At 44.6% G+C, this 23,392-nt stretch overlaps 2 long non-coding RNA genes across 4 annotated transcripts in view; one reads left to right on the forward strand and one right to left on the reverse strand.

Moving 5' to 3' along the window:
• LOC102723944 (uncharacterized) overlaps positions 1–23,392 on the reverse strand; it is a 102,009-nt gene that overhangs the window by 19,271 nt on the left and 59,346 nt on the right. The window contains exon 1 of one of the 2 annotated variants that reach the window (XR_926383.3): positions 16,866–16,948. The exons of the other annotated variant lie outside the window; for it this stretch is intronic. This is a non-coding gene — a long non-coding RNA (uncharacterized LOC102723944). Of the gene's footprint in view, positions 1–16,865; positions 16,949–23,392 lie in introns of those variants that run through there. 2 annotated transcript variants of the gene reach the window in all.
• On the forward strand, positions 16,941–19,920 carry LOC105374883 (uncharacterized). Of its 2 annotated transcripts, none has more exons than XR_926387.3 (3): positions 16,941–17,029; positions 17,220–17,395; positions 19,647–19,920. It is a non-coding gene; the product is annotated as an uncharacterized LOC105374883 (long non-coding RNA). The 2 variants fall into 2 exon arrangements; XR_007059402.1 differs by lacking the exon at positions 19,647–19,920 and adding an exon at positions 18,150–18,233.

Raw genomic sequence — 23,392 nt, forward strand, 5'->3', positions numbered from 1 at the left:
TGGGAAAAGTCCTGGAAATGGGTGGTGGTGACGGCTGCACAACAGTGTGAATGTGCTTAGTGCCACCAAACTGTACACCTTAAATGGTTGAAATGATGGATTGTGTGTATTATATATAACACAACTGTAGATAGATACACAGATGGATAGATGGGTGAAGACAGATGATAGATAGATAGACAGATAGAAGTATATGATAGATGATAGATAGATAATAGATATATGGATAGATGGATGGACAGATGGGTGAAGATAGAAAGAAAGATAGATGATAGATAGATAGATAGATAGATAGATAGATAGATAGATAGATAGATAGAAGTAGATGATAGATGATAGATAATAGATAGATGATAGATACATGGATGGATGGATAGATGGGTGAAGATAGATGATAGATAGATGATAGAAAATAGAAAATAGATTGATAGATGAAGATAGATAATAAATGATAGATAATAGATATATAGACAATAGATACATAGGTAGATGCATAGATACATAGATAGCTGATAGATAATAGATGAATAGGTGACTAGATACATAGATACACAGATAGATGATAGATAATGGATAGATAGATAGATAGATACACACATACATACATAAACAGATGATAGATAGATAGACCCTCACTCCTGCCTTCTGGACCCACTCAGCCTGCCCTTCCCACGCTGTGCATCCTGTGTTACTTCTCACCACTTGCCCACAGTCCCCTTCCCCCACATCAGCCCTCTCCATCCCCTGACCACCCCCAGCACTCAGGGGCCTCCAGGCATTTCCTTTGTCTCTTTGGTCCACTTTGAAGTCACACATTCCACTCCAACGACCGAAATCCCCACGCTTCCTTTCAGGCCCAGTCTAAGACAGAGCTCCACAAAGCCCTCCTGACTGGCACCGTCCCAAAGGATGCCTTCCCCTCACTTAGCGCCCCCTCGGCCCTACTGCAGAGCCTCTTCCACACCTGCAAATACTTGCCTGTGGCTCATCTTGGTTTCCCGTGTGTCTGTGTGTCTGGAGAACACTCCAGGGACAGTGTGAGCTCTCTGAGGACAGGGATTCCTTCCTGAACAACGGACAAGCACCCCTCCCTGAGTGTCTGTGTGTTTCCAGCTCTGGGGAACCCAAGTCATGGTCTCTGTCCACAAGAAGCTTTTATTTATAGTGTTAAAATATACATAACATAAAATGTACCATTTTAACCATGTTTAAGGGTATAGTTCTGTGATGTAAGTAATTCACATTGTTGTGCAATCACTGTACAGCATTCATCTCCAGGGATTTTTTTTATCTTCCCAAACTGAAACTCTGCACCCATTAACCAATAATTCCCTATTCTTTCTTCCCCAGCCCCTGGCAACCAGCATTTTATTTTCTGTCTGTATGAATTTTACTATTCTAAGTACCTAAACAAGTGGAATCATACAGTATTTGTCCTTTTGTGACTGGTTTATTTCACTTAGCATAATGTCAAGGTCCATGCTGTAGCAGGTGTCAGGATTTCCTCCCTTTTCAAGGCTGGATCATATTCTGTTGTATGGATACATCCCATTTTGTTTAGCCGTTCATCTGTTGATGGAGACTTGCGTGGTTTCCACCCTTTCCTATTGTGAATAACAACGCTATGCACATAGGCATAAAGTATCTGTTAGAGTCTCTGCTTCCAATTCTTCGGGGTATATACTTAGAAGTGTAATGCTGGATCATATAGTAATTCAGTGATTAACTTTTCGAAACCAAGAAGCTTCTAACAAACTCAGAAGACAGAACCAATACACACAAGACCATCTGAGACCAAAGAGCAGAAGGAGCTTTCTGCTGAGGCCAGAACCTGCAAAGCCTGACTCCACCACCAGGGATGACCTTGACTCATACCTTAAACCTCACTGGGCTACCTATAAAAGTGAGGTCTAAGTAATACGCCCTCTTTTCCTATTCTAAGATGTACATTGCCTTCACTTTTAGTAGCTCTAAAATCAGCATTGGTTATTTTAATTTCAGCATGTTTTTCCTTAATAGAATGTAAAAGGATAGTGCATTCTGCTCATAACTGGCGGAGCCTTAGACTCCAAACACAGCACCATGGAGGCAAAAACAGATAATAGAATAAGCACTCACCACTTTAATTTTCCTTTATTCAGTTGTGTGGTAATGACTATACGAATGCAATTAAAGTCAAGAAAAGATCACCACCACAGCATAACCTACCCTGAACAGACATTTCACCAAAGAAGAGATTGCAAATATGCAATGAAAAGTTGCTCAACTTCATTAGCCATTAGGAAAATGCAAATTAAAGCCACAATGAGATATCTGACACATCACTACACACCTATCAGAACAGCTAGAACAAAAAAATAGTGATGGTTCCAAACACTGGCAAGAAGGCAGACATATTGCATCTCTCAGACATTGCATGTGGGGAGGCAAAGTGGTACAGACACTCTGAAGAACAGTTTTGCAGTTTCTTATGAAACTAAACATATACTTGTCACGTGGTGCAGAGCTTGCCCCTCAGCATTTATCCCAGAGAAGCGGAAACTCGTGTCCATGCAAAAACCCACACACAAATATTTGTAGAAGCTTTATTTCCAACAATCAAAACCTGAAAATCATCCAAATGTCCTTGGGAGACTGCATGGTTAAACTGTGGCATATGACTGCTCAGTAGTATGCCATGGTGTGGATATGCCACAGTTTAACACCATGGCATACTACTGAGCAGTCAGAAGGAACACAGTGCTGAGGCTTTATGCTGAGTGAAAAAAGCCAATCTCAGAAGGTTCCATACTATATGATCCCAGTCATATAACATTCTTGAAATGACATCATTATAGAGATGGAGAAAAATTAGTGTTTGCCAGGGGATGGGGATCCAGGGGGGAATGTGTGTGTGTAGTGGCATGTGACTGTAAAAAGGCAGCGTGCCCAGTAATTCCATTACTGGGTGTATACCCAAAAGATTATACATCATTCTACTATAAAGACACATGCAAGTGTATGTTTACTGCAGCACTATTTACAATAGCAAAGACTTGGAACCAACCCAAATGCCCATCAGTGATAGACTGGATAAAGAAAATGTGGCACATATACACCATAGGATACTATGCAACCATAAAAAAGAATGAGTTCATGTCCTTTGCAGGGACATGGATGAAGCTGGAAACCATCATTCTCAGCAAACTAACACAGGAACAGAAAACCAAACATTGCATGTTCTCACTCATAAGTCGGAGTTGAATAATGAGAACACATGGACACAGGGAGGGGAACATCACACACCAGGGCCTGTTGGGGGGTTGGGGTGAGGGGAGGGAGATCATTAGGACAAATACCTAATGCATGTGGGACTTAAAACCTAGATGATGAGTTGATAGGTGCAGCAAACCATCATGGCACATGTATACCTATGCAACAAACCTGCACGTTCTGCACATGAATCCCAGAACTTAAAGTAAAATTTAAAAAAAAATTCCACACACACACACACACACACACAAAGAAAGGTAGTGTGAGAGTGACGTTGTGCAGATAGAACGGTTGGGATTTGGGTTGTGGTAGAAACTGCACATGGGACAAGATTGCATGGAACTATACACACACACACACACACGAATGAGTGCAGGTGAAAACTGGGGACTCTGCCTAAGGTCTGTAGACCAGTCAGCAGTACTATACTCATGTCTATTTCCTGGCTCTGTACAATCGTCATGTAAGCTGTTACTTTTGGGGGAAAGTTGGGGAAGGGTACACAGGCCTTTGATTTTTGAAACTTCCTGTGGACCTATCATTATTCCAAAATAAAAAGTTTAAAGTTTTTTTCTGAAAGAAAAATCTAGAAATTAATTGGCTAGATATTAAAGACTCTGTAAAGTATCAAGATCTTTTGAGTCAGCAATGATATCCTGAGAAGGGCCTCTCCGCCAAGGTTTTAGAGGAGAGGCCACCCTTCATGTGAGCTCATCAACTCCTGCTCAGCTGCGGGTCATCAATGCCCACTCTGGGCTGCTCCAAAGTCTTCCCACTGGAAATGGGAACTTTTTACCTCCCAATTCTAATATTAGTCGGAATTGTGAATAGGCCTTGGGAGGCTGAGGAGGAAAGAAAGGCAACACCTGGAGATATGGGGATAGGTATATGCCTGTGTGCATGTGTATGCGTGTGTGTGTACATGCGCACATGCATCCATGTGTGCAGGTTATGGGGGCGGGGGTTGCTTCAAATAACATTTCCAGCTGTTTATTTTCCCTAGAGTTGGCTCCAGGTAGATCACAGTGCTGCTTGGGCTTACCCAAGATTCCAGGTCCACTCCCTTCCATCTAACTTAGTTTTGTTCCAAAGCTACGGAATGTCCTCTCACCCACTGGCCTTAAAGGGGTCTAAAATGGAGTAAAAGTGGATCCATACTAGTCTTTGATAACCCATAGTCTAGGTGTGTGCATTCTCATAGGGGAGGATTCCTGGTAAGTTGGAAAGTTGGGTTTCAGAGTCACATTGAACCAGACTTGAATTCTGCCCCTTACACCCATAACTGTGGGACCAAGAGCATGTGATATAATTTTCCCCCCTGGAGCGTTAGAACAGTTGTAATCATAGCTCATATTTCTCCAGCTTCTTCTGTGTGTCAGGCACTGTGCAAAGTGCTCACCTACCTTGGAATTTTCTTGGAGAACTAAATGAGCTTATGAGTCTTAAATTGCCTGGCCAAATACCTATATCAAGAAGATAATTGATAAACTGTGCACTTAACTAATTATTATTCCTATTATCATAGTGTCCAAGAGGAAAAAGAAACACACTTCTCCAAGAGTACAAAGAACTCTGAAAATCGCACCAAATGCTCATTTTCAAATGTTGAAACAAGGCTAATTCTGCTATGTGATTTCTATTCATTTAGTGTGCCCTGCACTAGACATTAGTCATGATCCCTGAAAATTTCAGCATAAAGAATCCATGTGTCTGCTGGCACGCACGTATCTTGAAGTTGGATTTCTCCTCAAAATACTGTAAAGATTAAGTGCTCCCCTTAGCGTTCGCAACTTGGAAAACACAGCTATTTCCTTTCGTCTAACTATGCGACGATGCATCAGCCAAAGTAAATACAAAGAAAGTAGTTAGGCAAGAATGCAAGGAACATCAATGAGATGTAGTCTTGAAATAAATTAAATTCCTCAAGAAGCGTTTGGCTGAATTGTGGGGTAAAATGTAAAACACGACCTGACTTTGATGTATAATCCTTGACATAAGAGAGGTAATGATTTGGAGGAATTTTGTAACAGATGGCTGTTAAATCAGGATTTTAATCCTCTTAAGCAGATTTAGTAAATATAAAGCCTGGGTGGGCTGACTTCTACACGCGAACTTTTTGTCCTTGCTTTTAACCTGAGGTTTCTGCTTCAAACATTGAGGGTAGTGTTTTGGTCATGGTGGTGATGGTGGTGATGGTAGTGGTGGTGTTGGTGATGGTGGTGATATTGGTGATGATAGTGGTGATGGTGGTGGTGGTGGTGACATTGGTGGTGATGGTGGTGATTGTAACGATGGTGGTGATGGTGGTGGTGATAGTGATGATGGTGGTATTGTGATGTGGTGGTGGTGATGGTGGTGGTGGTGGTGATATTGGTGATAATAGTGGTGATATTGGTGATGATAGTGGTGATGGTGGTGGTGGTGGTGACATTGGTGGTGATGGTGGTGATTGTAACGATGGTGGTGATGGTGGTGGTGGTGATAGTGATGATGGTGGTATTGTGATGTGGTGGTGGTGGTGGTGATGGTGGTGGTGGTGGTGATAGTGATGATGGTGGTATTGTGATGTGGTGGTGGTGATGGTGGTGGTGGTGGTGATATTGGTGATAATAGTGGTGATATTGGTGATGATAGTGGTGACGGTGGTGTGGTGGTGGTGATGACAGTGGTGGTGATGGTGGTGACTGTAACAATGGTGGTAATGGTGGTGGTGATAGTGATGATGTATTGTAATGTGGTGGTGATGGTATTGTGGTGGTAGTGGTGATGATAGTGGTGATGATAGTGATGGTGCTAATGGTGCTAATAGTTACGGTGGTGGTGGTGGTGAAGGTAGTGTTGTGGTGATGGTGATGATGGTGATGACAGTGTTGTCATAGTGGTGGTAGAGATGGTGATGGTAGTGGTGATAGTAGTGATGGTGATGGTGATGGGCAATGGTGACGGTTGTAGTGGTGTTTGTGGCAGTGGTGGTGGTGCTAGCAGTTATGATGTTGGTGGTGGCAGTGGTTGTGGTGAAGGTGGTATTGTGGTGGTGATAGTCATGATGGTGCAGGTGGAGGTAGTGGTGGTGTGCATCCACATATTAGTTACACTACGTCCCTTGGAATGAGACCAGCATGCCTAATCCCCATTACAGAGGACACTAATAGACAACTACATAGAGTGTCAAGTTACACAGACAGAATCCAGAGCCTTTCAAGCAGATCTTCTCTCTCAAATATTATATCCTTTCCCTACCTCTCCTGCCTTCTTCCCTCAAACTCTTGGTCTTTGAATTACCACATTCAATTTTGTATTTCAGTTTTTATGAAACTCAGCACATGTTTTCAAAGCCAGTTGTGGCTAACTTGACTCAGGCTTGACTATTTCCCAATCTGGAGAGAAAGAAGATAAATGGCACTATCACATAAAAGACTGTTTTCCAGGAGTTACGTGTCACTTTCCCCTGCAAAGGAGCAGGCGTGGTCTTTTGGGAGAATGTTTGACATCAAACACATCTGTTTGAAGTTATTTTGAACACAGAGGTTCCAAACCCTAAGTAAAATGGAAAAACTATTTTGTGTGGTTTTCAAAGCAAGTAAAGTGGCCAAAAGCACTTATGTTTCTTAAGCCCCAGAACAACCACTAGGGCCCTCAATCTTTCATTGAGTCTTTTCCAAATCAGTTACTTCTGGAATTTGGTCTCTTTAGTCTTCCTCAGCTTTTCTCTCGGTGTAGTTGGAGGTCTATAAAGTCATCCCAAACCTCTGCACCCAACTAAACTTATTGGTAAGTCCATGCCTCCTAATTTGTTTTTTAAGTTGCATTTTAGGCCTTTAGGCTCAAAGAAAAAATACCTGGAAAGCAGGTAAGTCTCAGAAATTCATTAAGCAGCCTAAAAAAAAGCAATTCAAATGAGCTTCATTTCTGAGCTGAGGTTGTCATTAACCAATGTTAATTCTTAAAAAAAATATAAATTCCAATAGTTCAGAGTGTATGTTTATTGAAGTTCAAGGATCAAATGCTTAAAAGAGACTTTGAACTACAACTGGTTATCCTGTTCCATTTTTAGGAAAGACAAAAAAAAAAAACAAAAAACAGAAGAAAATTAGCTAATGTTGGGGATTTTGTGAAAGGAATTTGCAAGAAAATAAAAAAAGAATCTTTCAGGGACTTTTCTGAAGTCTGTACATGATAAGCCCAATCCCTTGTGCCTTCTGTTCCTCCCTTATCGGTGCTTTAACAAGAGAGCTGCTGCTCCAAACAGGAATCACTGAGGTCTCACAAAACCTTCAACTGCGAAAAGCAATGTCTATTACTATGTAGCAAATCCATCTTCACTCATTCATTTAATAAATGACTATTGAACGCCTACTGTGTTCTAGGGCTAGGGTTGGGATAGAATGGCCCTTTTCTTCATGGGGCTGGGTCCCAGGGAGGTTCTGGTAGGCTCTTTCTTCTGCCTTGAGGTCGGTCCTGAGCTGCTTACTGGGCAGCTCCACCTGGTACTGCAAACTCAGCCTGCTGAAAGCTGGAATCATTACCTCCTACATGTGCCTCTGCCTTTGTCTTGGATGTAACAGGAACTCATTAGAAGTAGCTTCAGAAAAATATGGGCTACCACAAGGATACAGAGGGAGCCCCGCAGAACCCAAGGACAAGAAGTATAGTCACGCCCCATAAGGGATGAGAAGCAGGAAATGGAAATCCTCTACAACCAGGGCAGTCAGCTCTCCCACACCAATCTCTGGCATCCCATAGTTTTTGTCCCTGCTTCTCTTTATTTCTCTGTGGCCCAGTCTCTCTCTCTCTGTGTCTGTACTAGTTTGCCAGGGCGGCCATAGCAAAATACCACAGGCTAGGGGGCTTATATTTTTTCATAGTCCTGGAGGCTGGAAGTCCAAGATCAAGGTGTGGGCAGGGGTGAATTCTCTGAGGCCTCCCTCCTTGGCTTACAGATGGCCACCTCCTTGCTGTGTCCTCATATGCCATGTCCATCTCTGGTATATCTCTGGTATGTCCCTTCTTTTTTTTTTTTTTTTTTTTTTTTTTTTGAGACAGGGTCTCACTCTGTCACCCAGGCTGAAGTGCCATGGTGCAATCTCAGCTCACTGCAACCTCTGCCTCCTGGGCCCAGGTGATCCTCCCACCTCAGCCTCCCAAGTAGCTGGGACCACAGGCATGCACCACCACACCCAGCTGATTTTTTTCTATTTTTTTGTAGAGATGGGATTTCACCACATTGCCCAGGCTGGTCTCAAACTTCTGGACTCAAGCAATCCTCCTGCCTCAGCCTCCCAAAATCCTGGGATTACAGGAGTGAGCCACCTCACCCGGCCAGTATCTCTCTTCCTTTAGACACACAGCTCTGTTAGGTCAAGGCCCCACCCTTATGACTGGGTTCAACTTTAATTATCTCTTTAAAGACCCTATCTCCACATACAGACACATTGGAGATTAAGACTTCTACATGCGAATTTGAGTGAAACAAAATTCAGTCCCTAATCGTGTCTCAGTTTGTCTCTGACTCTCTCTGTGTGTCTGTCTGTCTCTCTCTGGGCCATTTTTCTGTGCTTCTCAATGCAGAGGGCAAAAGACAGCTTCTACTCAGTTCCCAAAATTTGTGTCCTCCCAGTTCAAGCTCTGACTAAGACTTAGTGACTCCAGTTTCAATTCCAAATTCTTAGGAGAGTAATCATACTGGCATAGTCCAGCCCTGGAGCTATGGAGCACTGCTCAGCTATGTGACCTTAATCAGAAGGGTCACAGCCTGGTACAAACACAGCCACAGGGGTCTATCCACATGGCTAGGGCATGAGAGTGCTGAGGAGTGGCTTTATAGAAAAACCACCCAAATTCTTTGATACAGAAGAGCTTTGGAAACATCACAGCAGCCTACCTTCCCAGCCTCCCTCTGCATTCCCTGACCTGATGCTAATCTTCTGGCCACTCTGAGAAAAGTCACATGCTCCCATCACTCCTAACATGGTCCCACTCACCCATCTTCTGAGCCCCTGGTGAGCACAGAGAATGTGAGAAGCTGAGCCAAATCAAAGTCCTTTAGCAAGGATTGAAAGGAGGACCAGCTTTTGTGCAGGACCCAACAATGTCTGTGACTCTGTGTGATATACCATTAAATATTACTGCAGCCTGAAACTGCTCAGAAATGTTATCTTTAAATCATTTTACGCAATTGCATGGATTGGTGTGCGACAAGGCCTTGAAAAGCTGATGTGTGCATTAATAGGAGTTTTCATCAGGTGGATGTTAGAAGTTGGGGAGGGGTATTCCAGGCCCATGGGACAGTACGTGCAAAGGTACAGAGACTTAAAACAGAAAAGCACATTCAAGGAAAATTTCAAACACTATAAGTAAACATGCATGCCTGGGGTAAAGAATTCAAGTGGAGAGCAGAGGTGGAAGCGGCCAGAGACGTAGGCAGGGCTAAATCCCAAAAGCCTTTGGGCACTCTCCTAAGCAATTGAGACTTCATCCTCTGGGCATAAGAGTGTCATGTAGGATGAGCATTTTAGAAAAATGACACTGGTTGTGCTGTGGAAGAGAAGCATGTCTGGAGGCTGGACGATGAGTGAGGAAGGTCGGAGGTAAGAGGATGAGGAATGCAGGTAGAGGAACAGACAGATTTGAGGGCTGTCTAGTAGATGGAAGTGACAGAACTTGATGCTGGCTGAAACAGAATGACCTGTAGCTGTCTGACATGGGAAGCAGATGTTTTTACAAAAGGAGAAGTGAGATTTTGTTTTAACCTATTTTTATTCTAATAAATTGGACTAAAAGCACTGGTTTGAGCCTGTGCTCCAGTGAAAGATTTCATCATGACTGGTAGAGTTGGCCTTAACATCACTGGACTCGACACAAAACTCTTGAAAAAACTGTGAAGTTTAACTCTCAATGTCGCCAATGTCACCTTCCTGTTTTGTGCTATTCTTACCGTGAGGAGGCACCTATACAATCAGCCAATTACTATTTTTTGAGCATTTACTGTGTTCCCACATCTTACAGTATGGCACTTAACACACAAAATGAAGTCTCTCGGGTTGGGAATTGTGGTAGAACATCTGCAAAGACGGTAGCCAAAAGGTCCCCCTGTCTCTGAATGCACATACATGTCTCCCATCAAGAGGCGGAGCCTATTTTCCCCTTCTGAGATTATGGCATTATGACTCATTATGACCAAGAGAATGCAGTAGCCATGACAGGTGAGAGTGCTAGGGCCTAGACCTTAAGAGGCACTGCAGCTTCCATGCTTGCTGTCTTGAAGTCCTGAGCTATCATATTAAGAAGTTCGAGGGCCGGATGCAGTAGCTCACTCCTGTAATCCCAGCACTTTGGAAGGCTGAGGTGGGCAGATCACCTGAGGTCAGGAGTTTGAGACCAGTCTGGCCAACATGGTGAAACCTCGTCTCCACTAAAAATACAAAACTTAACTGGGCATGGTGGCACATGCCTGTAATCCCAGCTACTCGGGAGGCTGAGGCAGGAGAATCGCTTGAACCCAGGAGGCAGAGGATGCAGTGAGCCAAGATCATGCCACTGCACTCCAGCCTGGGCGACAGAGTGATACCCTATCAAAAAGAAAGAAAGAAAGAGAGAGAGAGAAGAAAGGAAGGAAGGAGAGAGAGAGGGAGGGAGGGAGGGAAAGGAAGGAAGGAAGGAAGAAAGAAAGAAAGAAAGAGAGAAAGAAAGAAAGAAAGAAAGAAAGAAAGAAAGAAAGAAAGAAAGAAAGAAAGAAAGAAAAAAGAAAAGAAAAGAGAAAAGAAAAGAAAAGAAAAGAAAAGAAAAGAAAAGAAAAGAAAAGAAAAGAAAAGAGTCCATAAGTAACCTGTAAATAGATTCACAGTTCCAGAAAGTGGGCCAGGGAGCATGAACAAATGTGTCTCATCAAACTGAGCCTCTGCCCCATTTCAAAGCTTCGCATAAAGCTGCAGTGATCCAGGCAGCATGGAATCGATGTGGGGATTCACGTGGATCAACAGAACAGAATACAAAAGCAAGAAATATACCTTTATGTTTCCAGACAATGTTGCCAGAGTAACTCGATGATGAAAGGGTAGCTTTTCAGCAAATGGTGCTGGGACAATTAGATATCCACACGCAACAACAACAACAACAAAAAACTTATACTCTCACCTCACACCATACACAAAAACACCCAAAATGGAGCATCAACTTAAATATGAAAGTTAAAACTACAAAACGCCTAGACGAAAACATAGGAGGAAATCTTTGTGAAGTTTAGTTGGACAATGATTACTTAGAATGACACCAAAAATATAATCAAAAAGTTTTTGATAACTTGAACTTTATGAAAATTAATAATTTTGCTCTTCAAAAGACACTATTAAAAAAATGAAAAGACAATCTACAGACTGGGGGGAAAATTCTGCACATCATACATCTAATTAAAGGGTGTCTATCCAGAGTATATTAAGAACTCCTACAGCTTAATAACAAGAAAACAAAGAACCCAATTATTTTGTTATAAAATTTGCAACATATAATTGTATATATTAATGGGGCAAAAAATGATGTTATGATTTATGAATACAGTGTGGATTGATTAAATCAAGCTAACTAACATATCCATCACCTCAAATACTTACCATTTTTTGTAATGAGAACTTCTGAAATTGACTCTAAGCATTTTTTTTTTTTTGAGATGGAGTCTTACTCTGTCACTCAGGATGGAGTGCAATGGCTCAATCCCAGCTCACTGCAACCTCCACCTCCCAGGTTCAAGCAATTCTCCTGCCTCAGCCTCCCGAGTAGCTGGGATTACAGGCATGCACCACCACGCCCAGCTAATTTTTTTTTGTATTTTTATTAGAGATGGGGTTCCACCATGTTGGACAGGCTGGTCTCGAAGACCTCAAGTCATCCACCCTCCTCGGTCTCCCAAAGTGCTGCAATTACAGGTGTGAGCCACTGCACCCAGCTGACTCTTAGCAATTTTTAAATGTACACTATACTATTACTATCATTATTAACTATTAACACTATTATTAACTAATATTATTATTAACAATACTCACCATGCTGTGCAACAGATCTCAGAAAAAACCCTTACTCCTCCTAAGATTGTATATCCTTTGACCATGATTTCCCCATTCCCCTCCTAATCCAATTTTTAAAGGGATGAATTATTTCAATTGGCGTTTCACCAGAGAAGAAATGTGAATGGCTAATAAACCCACGAGAAGCACTGCAAGCCCACTTGAACGGCTCTAGCCGGAAAAGGAGCGCCAATCCAATGACCCATGCTCTAACCCAGATGAGCCTCAGAAACATTAAGTTAAGGGAGAAAAGCCAGACAGAAAAGACTACATATTCTGTGATTCTATTTATATAAAATGTCCAGAAATGACAAATCTGCAGAGTCAGAAAGATTAACAGATGCCCGGGACTCGGGTAGAAGCAAGGACTGCAAATGAGCACAAGAGAAATTTCTGGAGTGATGAAGACATCCTAAAACTGGATTTCAGTGACAGCTCCACAACTTTATAAATTGGCTAAAAAAAAAAAAATCATTGAATTGTACACTTGTACAGACAGTCCTTGACTTACAATGGTTCACTTTATGATTTTTTGACTTGAGGAAGGCTCAAAGGCAATCCACATTCAGTAGGAATCATATTTTGCATACCTATACAACACTTCTGTTTTTCAGTTTTGGCACAGTATTCAATAAGTTACATGAGATATTCAACACTTCATAATAAAAATAGGCTATGTGTTGAATGATTTTGCCCAATGATAGGTTAATGTAAGTGTTCTGAGTATGTTTAAGGTAGGCTGGGCTGAGCTGTGATATTCTGTAGGTTCGGTATATTGAATGCATTTTCAACTTAATGATATGTTCAACTTACAATGGACTATGTAATGTCTATCAGGACATAGCCCCATTATAAATTGAGGATCATCCGTAATGAGTGGATTTTTATGGTGAGTTATTCTTCAATAAAGCTGTTTTTTAAAAACAGGGAAAATGAATGATGAGGAAAAACTTATGAGCCATGAGTGCTGACTAATGAGTCAGCTCCTGTGAACAGCGTACTGTGAAGCATTAAGCTAGGTATGAATCACAGCAGTGACGATGAGGATGCAGGGCGTGGTGTTTACAGAAAATAAGACAAGGAACGGAGTAACTTAAGGTGACCTTGACAGCTGGAGGAATTTGGGTTTGATATAAAGGACACAAAAAGCTTTCAAAAAGTTTTAATGGTTGTTAAATTCTACAAAGTTTAAAAAACTAGTGCCTATTCTGGAAAAGGGAAAGCTATGAAGACAGAAAAAAGATCAGTGGTTGCCAGGATCAAGGGGAGGGCGGGATGAACAGGCAGATCACCAAGTATTTGTGTGGCAGTGAGACTACTCTGCAAGATGCTACACATCATACGTGTGTCCAACTTACCGATGTCTAACAAGAGTGAACCCCAACATAAACTCTGAACTCTGGGTGTGAACAGTGTTTCAATGTAGGGTCACCCGATTGTAACAGATGTACCGCTGTCCTGGGGGATGTCTATAGTGAGGGAGGCTGTGCGTGTGTGGGAACAGGCAGTGTATGGGAACTTTCTATGCCTGCCACTCAATTGTGTTGTGAACCTAAAACTGCCCTAAAAAAAATAAGGTTTATTTAAAAAATAAAATATAGGTGAAATAAATACCTAAATCTCACTGTTGTCATCCTGCTCCTGAATGGTAGTCACCAGAATTATGTGAGGTCATTGTCATGTTCTCACTTGCAGAAGCAGACAGTCTTTGTGGTTATTATCTGGGATTAGTCTTCACTCTGACTTCCTCACCTACTGCACACAGCATCAACCTAGTCCATGGGTGCACAGGGAAATCCCAAGCCTGTAGATGGTCTTGAGAACTCAAGAAGTGTCTAGGCCTACAAATAGCCCACCATTAATACGTCTCCCCATAGGCCTGCCCAGAATCCTTCCTTGCTCCCAGATCAGACCCTTGGTTCTCACAGATAGTGAGCTGGACTGGCCGAAGCCAGAAAAATACAGCCATTTTGGAGCCACGGTATTGAGACAGCTATCGACAAGGAAAAGTTAAATTACTCTACTTAGCTTGCTTGTTTGTTTATGAAATTACTGTGTAAAAATATGCATTCTTGAGAACAGAATTTATGTTTTGTTCTCCCAGCATTTTTATAAAATCTCCACTGCAAGCAGGTCAGCAAGACTGTGGGGAGGTTTGCATCACAAAGCCGCACGGGGTCACCCCAAGCCCATTTCTCACCTATCTTTGTGAAGGCCTACTCCAGAGACCCCTTTATTACAGGGCTGGCCTGGGACAAAGGAGGGAAGCACTTGGAAAGCTCTGTCCTTAGGGTCAGTGGCTATGCCACACCCACCAGCCAATGGGCCCATCAGGAGGGAAGACAGTGCAGGGATTCCAAGCTGTCTCTCATCTGGCTGCTGGTTCGTGGTTTATCTTCCAGTGCAGGCATAGATTTTAATTAAAGTAAAAGCTAAGTTTGTTGTGAGCTAGCCAAAGCATGTTGATGAGCTGCATTCAGTGCTGGAGTCGGGTGTGTGACCTCTGGCCTGGACTTGTTGAGGAGATTGTGTGCTGTGTTCTGGGAGGGCAGGGGAGAGAGGACAAGGGGCCCAGCACTGAGAAGGGGCCAGGGACTGTGAGGTCCTCCCCATGCCGGTGTTCTGGGATGATGGCAGGCACTCAGGGGCAGGTGAATGACACGTCTGAGGAGGCCAGGCCTTGAGCACTGTCTCTCAGCCCCTGGAGAGGTGACCATGCTTTGGCAGCAATAGAATTCATGTCCACTGAGAGTAGGACCTCAAGTGGTGACCAGAATGGCCTCCCGGGTGCTTTGGGACTCAGATCCAGTCCCCTTTGCCAAATACTTGGCATACCAATTAGGACGGTTATTATCCAAACAAAAACATAAAACACAATATAACAAGTGTGGTGAAGACGTGGGTATTGGAACCCTTGTGCAGGGCCAGTGAGAATGTAAAATGCTGCCGCCACTGTGGAAAACAGTATGGCAGTTCCTGAAAAAGTTACACTTAGAATGACCATACAACCCAGCAATTCTTCTCCAGATATATACACGGAAGGATGGAAAGCAAGAACTCGAACAGATATTTGCACACCCATGTCCATAGCAGCATATTCAACAGATGATGGACACACAAACATGATTAATCCCTACAATGGAATGTTACTCCGCTGTGAAAAGAAAGGGAGTTCTGACACACGCTACGTGAATGAACCTGGATGGCATGTGCTCAGGGAAATAAGCCAGTCACAGGTGGACAAATAATGTGTGGTTCCACTTAGGTGAGGTACCTAAAGTAGTCAAAGTCGTAGAAAGTAGAATGGGTATTGCCAGGGGCTGGGGAAGCAGAGAGTGGGGAGTTAGAGTTAGATGGGTACAGAGTTTCAGTTCAGGAAGATGAAATCGTTCTGGAGGTGGATGGTGGTGGTGGCTGCACAACATTATGGACGTACACTTAAAAGCGGTGAAAATGGTAAACTTAATTTTATAGATACTTTACCACAATGTAAGAAATAAAAAATATAAAAATGAAAACACATTGCTCACAGCCCCAAGAATGACTGAGATGGATTTTCCACCAGCTCAGCAGGGGAAGGGCTGAGTTAGACTTGATTTGATTTGAAAGGAAGAGAGAAGAGCAGCCTTTCCTGTCTGAGTTTGCACGGTCAGGTTCACACCTGTTACAAACCCAAGGCCCCAGTAGCCATGCTGGACGCTGCACCCTGATATGGTTTGGATTCGGGTCCCCGCCCACATCTCCTATCAAATTGTAATCCTCGGTGTTGGGGGAGGGGCCCGATGGGAGGCGATTGGATCACGCGGGCGAACTTCCCCTTTGCTGTTCTCGTGATAGTGAGTTCTCACCAGATCTGGTTGTTTAAAAGTGTGGGCTGGGCATGGTGGCTCATGTCTGTAATCCCAGCACTTTGGGAGGCCGAGGCGGGCAGATCACCTGAGGTCAGGAGTTCAAGACCAGCCTGGCCAACATAGTGACACCCCGTCTCTACTAAAATTACAAAAATTAGCCAGGCGTGTTGGCACGCACCTGTAATCCCAGCTACTCAGGAGGCTGAGGCACGAGAATCCCTTGAATCCAGAAGGCGGAGGTTGCAGTGAACCGAGATCTCACCACTGTCCTCCAGCCTGGGCGACAGCCAGACTCTGTCTTGGGGGAAGAAAAAAAGCGTGTGGCACGTCCCCCTTCACTCTCTTCCTACTGCCCCAGCCTTGTGGGACGTGCTGGCTCCCCGTTCACCTTCCGCCACAATTGGAAGTTTCCCGAGCCCTCCCCAGCCATGCTTGCTGTACGGCCTACAGAACCATGAGCCAATTAAACCTCTTTCTTTATAAATTACCCAGTCTTGCGTAGTCCTTTACAGCAAGGCGAGAACGGACTCACACACCGTTTTCAGCACTCCCTTGCCCCATGCCTGAGCCCCTCTCATCCTTACTCCCCAGGGTTGGGGCTGGGTGGGAGGGAGGCAGGCAGGGAGAGAGGATATCTTTTTCATTCATTACATTAGAATAACTTCTTTTCCATGCTGAAAGCTTAATGATTTGTTTTCTAGGTCACCTCAAAATGTCCCCAAGCCATCGCTGGAACTACCCGATGAAGTCATTCTTCCTTACAAAGTAGATTCCGTTGCTAGGGCTGCCATAACCAAATGCCGCAGCCTGGGTGGCTTCAACAGAATTTCATTTCCCCACAGTCCTGGGAGCTGGAAGCCCAAGGTCCAGGTGTGAGCAGGGCTGGTTTCCCCTGAGGCCTCTCTCCTTCGCCTGCAGGTGGCTTCTTCTCCCTGTGTCTTCACAGGGCTATCCCTTTGTGTCTGTGTCCTCATCTGCTCCTCTAATAAAGACACCAGTCATACTGGGTTAGGGCCCACCCTAATGACCTCATCTAACCTTATTTATTACCTCTTTAAAGGCGCTATCTTCCAATTCAGCCATTCGGAGGTCTTGGCGGTTGAAACTTCAAGACAGGAATTTGGAGTGAGGACACAGTTCATTCCATACACAAAGACAGGAGCGGCTTCATCCAGAACCCGGAAGGTCTGTCCCTCTACAGAAACCCAGATCTAATCGTGTCGCATCCCACACCAGGTAGGTCTTTCTCAGTTCTTTCTCTGCTCCCCTGTTTGGGCACTGAAGGAAGTTTGCAAAGCGTGTCTGGCCGAACGTTCTCATTGCTTGACGGACTTCATCCCAATAGAAGGACCTCTTCCAAGCTGATGGCTTATTCAAAGCAAAACTCTAGTTTTCCCAATGAGATTTTTACGGTCGGGTGTAAGGCTGATCTTATCAAAAGGCTCTGTCAGCACACAGTCTCTGGATTTACATAGGGGCCTCTCGAGAAAGCCACATGGCGTCAAGACAAGGCTGGACTGTAGCCTCTCTTTTGGTAACCAGATTGACATATAATACCCTTCCCAGTCTTGTTTTTCAACTTAAATTATATATTCCCCAAGTCCCTGGCTGAATAAATAAACTGAATCAGGGGTGGGGTGTCCAACTTTGAATAACACCACTCTGGTCTGTGAAACTCTAGATGCCTTTGTCTGGGACCTAGACCCATTGTTCTTGCTTGGCAATAATGGTTTGATTCTCACATTAAATGCATTAGTTTGATAAAGGGCCAAGAAGTGCACACTCATGAATCTGAAATGACCCCTTTCCTTACCAAGGCCCTGGCATGGACAGCTATCTGCAGGAGATGAAAGGGGCCCAGCTTCTATTTTTGTGGTCTCCCCAAGGAGCAAACTTTTTATGTCTACTTTGATGTAGACATAAAAAGGCATTTCTATACCAGCAATCCTTTAGCATGAGCATTTAGCATGAACATTTTGTATCTGCCCAGGAATTTCCAAACTTTGATGCCATTACAGTCTGAGAGAGCATGACTGACGCAAGTGAGCCGGGAGCACAGGCAGGAGCACAGAGCCCAGCTGCCTCCCGCACCCCCTCCACCCACCCCATCTACAGCTCATTGCATTAGCAGCCGCCTCTCGCCCCTCTACCCACGCCATCTAGAGCCCACTGCGTCAGCCCAGAGGATATGTCATTTGGCAGCAAAGCCTCATCACAGATAGAACCAGCTCCTCAGGCACCCTCATTCCTGGAGAGGCACTTGACGGGGCAGAGCCTGAAGCAGAGTTTCCAGGAAGACAAGAAGGCCAACTTCCCTAGGAACTGCAGATGGAGGTCCCGCTCATGTGTTTCTGCGAATTAAGGTGGGGCCTTGGTGAAAGAGCAGAAGAGCTCCCCAAGCTGCCTGGGCCCAGGGCTCAGGCTGAGTAAGGGCTGCGTGCACGAGCTCCACCAGATCTCAAAAATGCGCAGTCACCATGTCCTCGTTGGGCCCGTCTTAGCCTGCCCCAGCTTGGGGCAGAAAGGGGCAGAGGGTGGTACAGTGCAGGGGAGCTGGTAAAGACTGGACAGGGAACTGCAAACCCCGCCCTTCCAGGGCCTTCCAGCCAAGTCTCAGTTTCTTTTAGGCTCCTCTCTTCCTTAGGATTAGCCTCCGCCCTCACTCACAGGCCGACCGAGGCTAATCCTCTGCCATTTCTATATGTGGACCCTGGGCAATATCCACTATACAGTGCTTTACTTTATCTACAAAATGGGGCTCATTGCCCCTTCCTTGGGTTGTTGGATGGGTCCTATGAGTGATCAAAGAGCCCAGGGCATGGGATTATTATTACTGTACTTTCTGGGACTGCAGGGTCTCCCCTCACACCATCAGCTTATCAGAGAAGAACCAAAGCCTGGCTGTCCCCAAATGGCCTATGGAGCCAGGCCAGCATGTGGGCCCTCCCTGGTGGTCACACCTCACCATCCAGCACTCAGGGGCCTCTCGTCTCTTCCCACTAACAGAAAGAAATGTTGTGCGGCCACCGGCCTCTGTCTGAGCACAGGAGACACCAAATGGGAGGGTTCTGGCAAACGGAGTGGGAACTTGGCCCCCTTCTCACACCGTGCTCCTATCCTCTGGAATGCAGGGAGGGAGGCTGCGTTCTGCATGTGGCGTCTCTGAAACTAAATGCTCCTTATTTTATGCATACCCAGCCAAAGCCAACAGGACACTCACCCACCAAAGACGGGCCTTCCCATTTATACACGAAGGCCAGGTTTCCCAAAGTCATGCTCAGGGGACCCTAGGAAAAAAGTTTCATCTTGAATTGGCTCTAATCTTACTGAGGAGATGAATAATAAATAATGATAATAATAATAATAAACATATATTTATAATATGTGTATTATATATTACATAACATATATTTATATAATATAAATATAATTATTATTAATTTATTAATTTTATTAATTATTAATTAATACATTAATTTTTTTAGAGATGGGATCTCACTATGTTGCCCAGGCTAGAGTGCATTGGCTATTCACAGACGATCATGATGCAATCATAGTGCACCACATCCTCAAACTCCTGGACTCAAGTGATCCTCCCTCCACAGCCTCCCAAGTAGCTGAGACTGCAGGCACACGCCACTGCACCCAGCCCTGGACTATTAACTTTTATATTTTTTATATCCATAGAGTCAGGCAGCTTCTGATGCATAGTAACCATGTAATAAATGTTGAATGAATAAATGTGAATGACCATACCCATACATAGACATATGCATTCATATAAATCTCAGCTTCTCATCTCATTCTCCCAAGCAATGCTAACAGCCTTGACAGCTTTTGACAAACTGATTCACAACAAAGCCTTGATTTTCCCATCCATGAAGTGGGGCTAAAATATGCCTAAATCTACGGATTGCCTTTAGAATTCAGTCTCCTTCAAAATTTCAAACTAAGGGTCTCACCCCCATTAGCGCATCACGAAGTCAATTTAGTGAACTGTGACCAACATTTTTTAAAAATGAGGTAGAAAATAAAAGGACCTACCAGAAAATATGATTGGAAATATCCAATCAGAGTGGAAATATCAGAGTCGATCATGGGGAGGAAGGTAAAGTAGGTCACTATTTCGTGAAGCTTTTGCTTTGGTTACGTATGTGGGTATGTGCTGGGTTGGAAATGTCAATTGCAGTAAAAAAAAAAAAAAAAAAAAAAAAAAGGCTTGGAAGTCACAGCCCCCTAGTAGAGTGTCCACGGCCAGGTCTGAGGATGGGACACGGTGCCGTGCCTTGCTTTGTGGAGCCTGGCTACACCCTGGGTTGGCAGAAGTGTTTTTCCCAGATCTGTGGAGTGGCTGCTGCTGTGCTGCAGCCCCTCTGGGATGTGTTTACTTTTTCACAATGCAAAGCTTTCACCTAGAAAATAAGCCCTGAGTGAAAAATCCAGACTCATGTAAGTCTGACATTTATTATTTGAAGGTAAAGAAACTACAATTAGGACTAAATTGGTCTCTTCTCAGGGGATGCATAAACACATCCCCCAGAACCTTTTTTAAAACATTGCAGACAGGGCCTGTAGTTCCCGTGTGAACGTCTTGGATCCAAAGGCTTATCTTTGAAGGAGAAAAGTTGAGGCTTGGAATTATAGAATCCTGAGCCCTTGGAGTAAGAAAGGTCCTTTGGAGTCACTGACCAGCCCCGGGCACAAGTCCCCTTTGCCAGGTCACTCCCTGAGCTAGGGATTTCTGCTTTCTGCCGGTACAAAACCCTGCTTCTGTCACTTTCAATTATTGATCCTAAAAGCCAAAGAGAAAAGAACTCTGCTCCCATGTAAAGTCCCTCAATCAACTTATCCTAAAGAGTTATTGACTTTTTTTTTTTCCTCCTTTGAGACAAGGTCTTGCTGTCACCCAGGCTGGAGCGCAGTGATGTTGTCATGTCATGACTCACTGCAGCCTGGGACTCGAGTTTAAGCGATCCTCCCTCCTCAGCCTCCTGAGTAGCCGAGACTACAGGTGCATGTCTCCATGCCCGGCTAATTTTTTTTTTCTTTTGCAGAGACCAGGTCTCACTCTGTTGTCCAGGCTGGTCTGGAACTCCTGGGATCAAACCACCCTCCTGCCTCAGCCCCCCAAGGTGCAGGAATTACAGGGTCACACCATGCCCACTGAGTTAAGACTTTTTGATAGCCAAGTGATTGTACAAGCCTCTGAGCTCAACCCCACTTGAATCATCTTGAAAGACTTGATCATAATTCAAGTTCTTCTTTGGCACATTTTTATCATTGGCTATGGATTTACATAAAACACAATGAGTCACAGAGTGGAGAGAGCTATTAGATTGGCAGTCCCCAACATTTTTGGCACCAGGGACCAGTTTCGTAGAAGATGATTTTTCCACAGATGGTGGGGTGGGGGGTGGTTTTGGGATAAAATCGTTCCACCACAGATGATCAGGCATTTCTTAGATTCTCATAAGGTATGTGCAACCTATGTTCCTCACACGCAGTTCACAGTAGGGTTTGTGCTCCTGGGAAAATCTAACGCCACCGCTGGTGTGACAGGAGGAGAAGCTCAGGCAGGACTGGTCGATCACCCGTCACTCACCTCCTGCTGTGTGGCCCGATTCCCAACAGGCCACAGACTGGTAGCAGACTGGTACCAGTCTGTGGCCTGGAGGTTAGGGACCCTTACATGACATGAATGTAAGGAAACCAAATACCCACAAAGAGAAACCTGACCGGTGCTACCCACATCCAGTGTCACTCTCCCTTATGAAGAACTGAACTTCCAAGGTCTAAGCAGAGAAGGGCTTCAACAAGACAGTGTGTCTCCAGGTGGACAGAGGAGCTGGTGACATGGCCCCAGACTATGTGTGTCCTCCTTCCCTGTGGGGGTCCGTGCTGACTTCTGCTGTGGAAACTTCCTCTTGTCTCCACACCCGTGTCACTGCTCCATCAGAGCCCCCTTAAGCATGCTCAACACATTTTATCCGCGGATGCTCTGGGCACTCAGGAGCGTACTGAAATTTGCAGCAAGAGGATCACCCCCACTGTGCAAGAATCAAAAAGGGAATAGGCTTGAGGCATTGCTTTTGACGCCATGGACTCTTAGGGCTCTCAGTCCTGCCTGGGCCCCGGCTCTCGTTCTCTCCAACATGACGCCATCTGCTCAAGCCCTTCTGGAATCCTGTGCTAGAAGAGCACTTCACTTTATAGCCAAAGGTTCCATCTGGGCTTCCGGGTTTCCATCCTGGCCTGAACCACTTCTCCATTACTCACTAGCTGGATCTACCCTGCAACAAACCTCAGCTCCCTCTCCTACCAGCCAACAGGATCTGGATCTTATCACATGAAGTCCCCCTCGACCCAACCGCACTGTGATCCAGTAGCCTCATTGCTCCTTTTTCCACCCCACCGTCACCCCCCACCCCCAACAGAAAGTGAAAGAGTGCCTTCTCCAGACTTAAGGGACTCACACCTGAGTTCCTGTGCCCACTCTGGTGGGCTCCATTAGGCACTCGTTATTTTTCTAAGTAGAGATGAATAAGTAAACACCACAGTGAATAGTCACATCCTCCCTTACTCAGAGACCAAACTCCCAGGCACTGAGGTGTCCCTAGAGACCTGCTCCAGTGTCCCCACATCCCTATCCCCATCAGCCTAACAGTCGCTTGTTCATTCATCACTGACACTTGTTCTGGGACTCTCATCTGTCCCCTGTCCTGTGCCCCACAGCTCCAGACATTCTGATGGTGGTTATGAGAATGGTTGTCATCGTTCTCACATGGGAAGCCCCACTTCTACCTCCAAAAGCATATCGGGGCCCAGGCACATGAGTCAGCAGATCCAGAGAGAAGCAGACAGCAGAAGCTGCCCCAAATCCAGTTCTAGTCATTCAACCACAAATGCAGAGCAAAATGCATCCCTCCTCAGACCCTCTCAGACACCGCACCCTTGACTTCCCAGGAGATATTTGATACACTTAGATAGCATTTGAACAAGACTTTACTGGTGCACATCCATTCCTACAATCTTAGCACTGGAAACATCTCTGAGATCCTTTGATCTCTCTTATCGTTTTTACAGGGTAGAAGCTAAAGCCCAAGGGATTTGTCCAAATCCAGTCAGCTTGTTACTGAAATGACAGGGGCTGGTATACACCGAATGCCAACATGCCCCACATGATCTCCCCAAGGTGCCACATAGGGCAGTTGGACACTAAGGTCTTTGCCTTTC

The sequence above is a fragment of the Homo sapiens genome, chromosome 6, assembly GCF_000001405.40.
Source record: "Homo sapiens chromosome 6, GRCh38.p14 Primary Assembly".
Taxonomy (NCBI): Eukaryota; Metazoa; Chordata; class Mammalia; order Primates; family Hominidae; genus Homo; species Homo sapiens.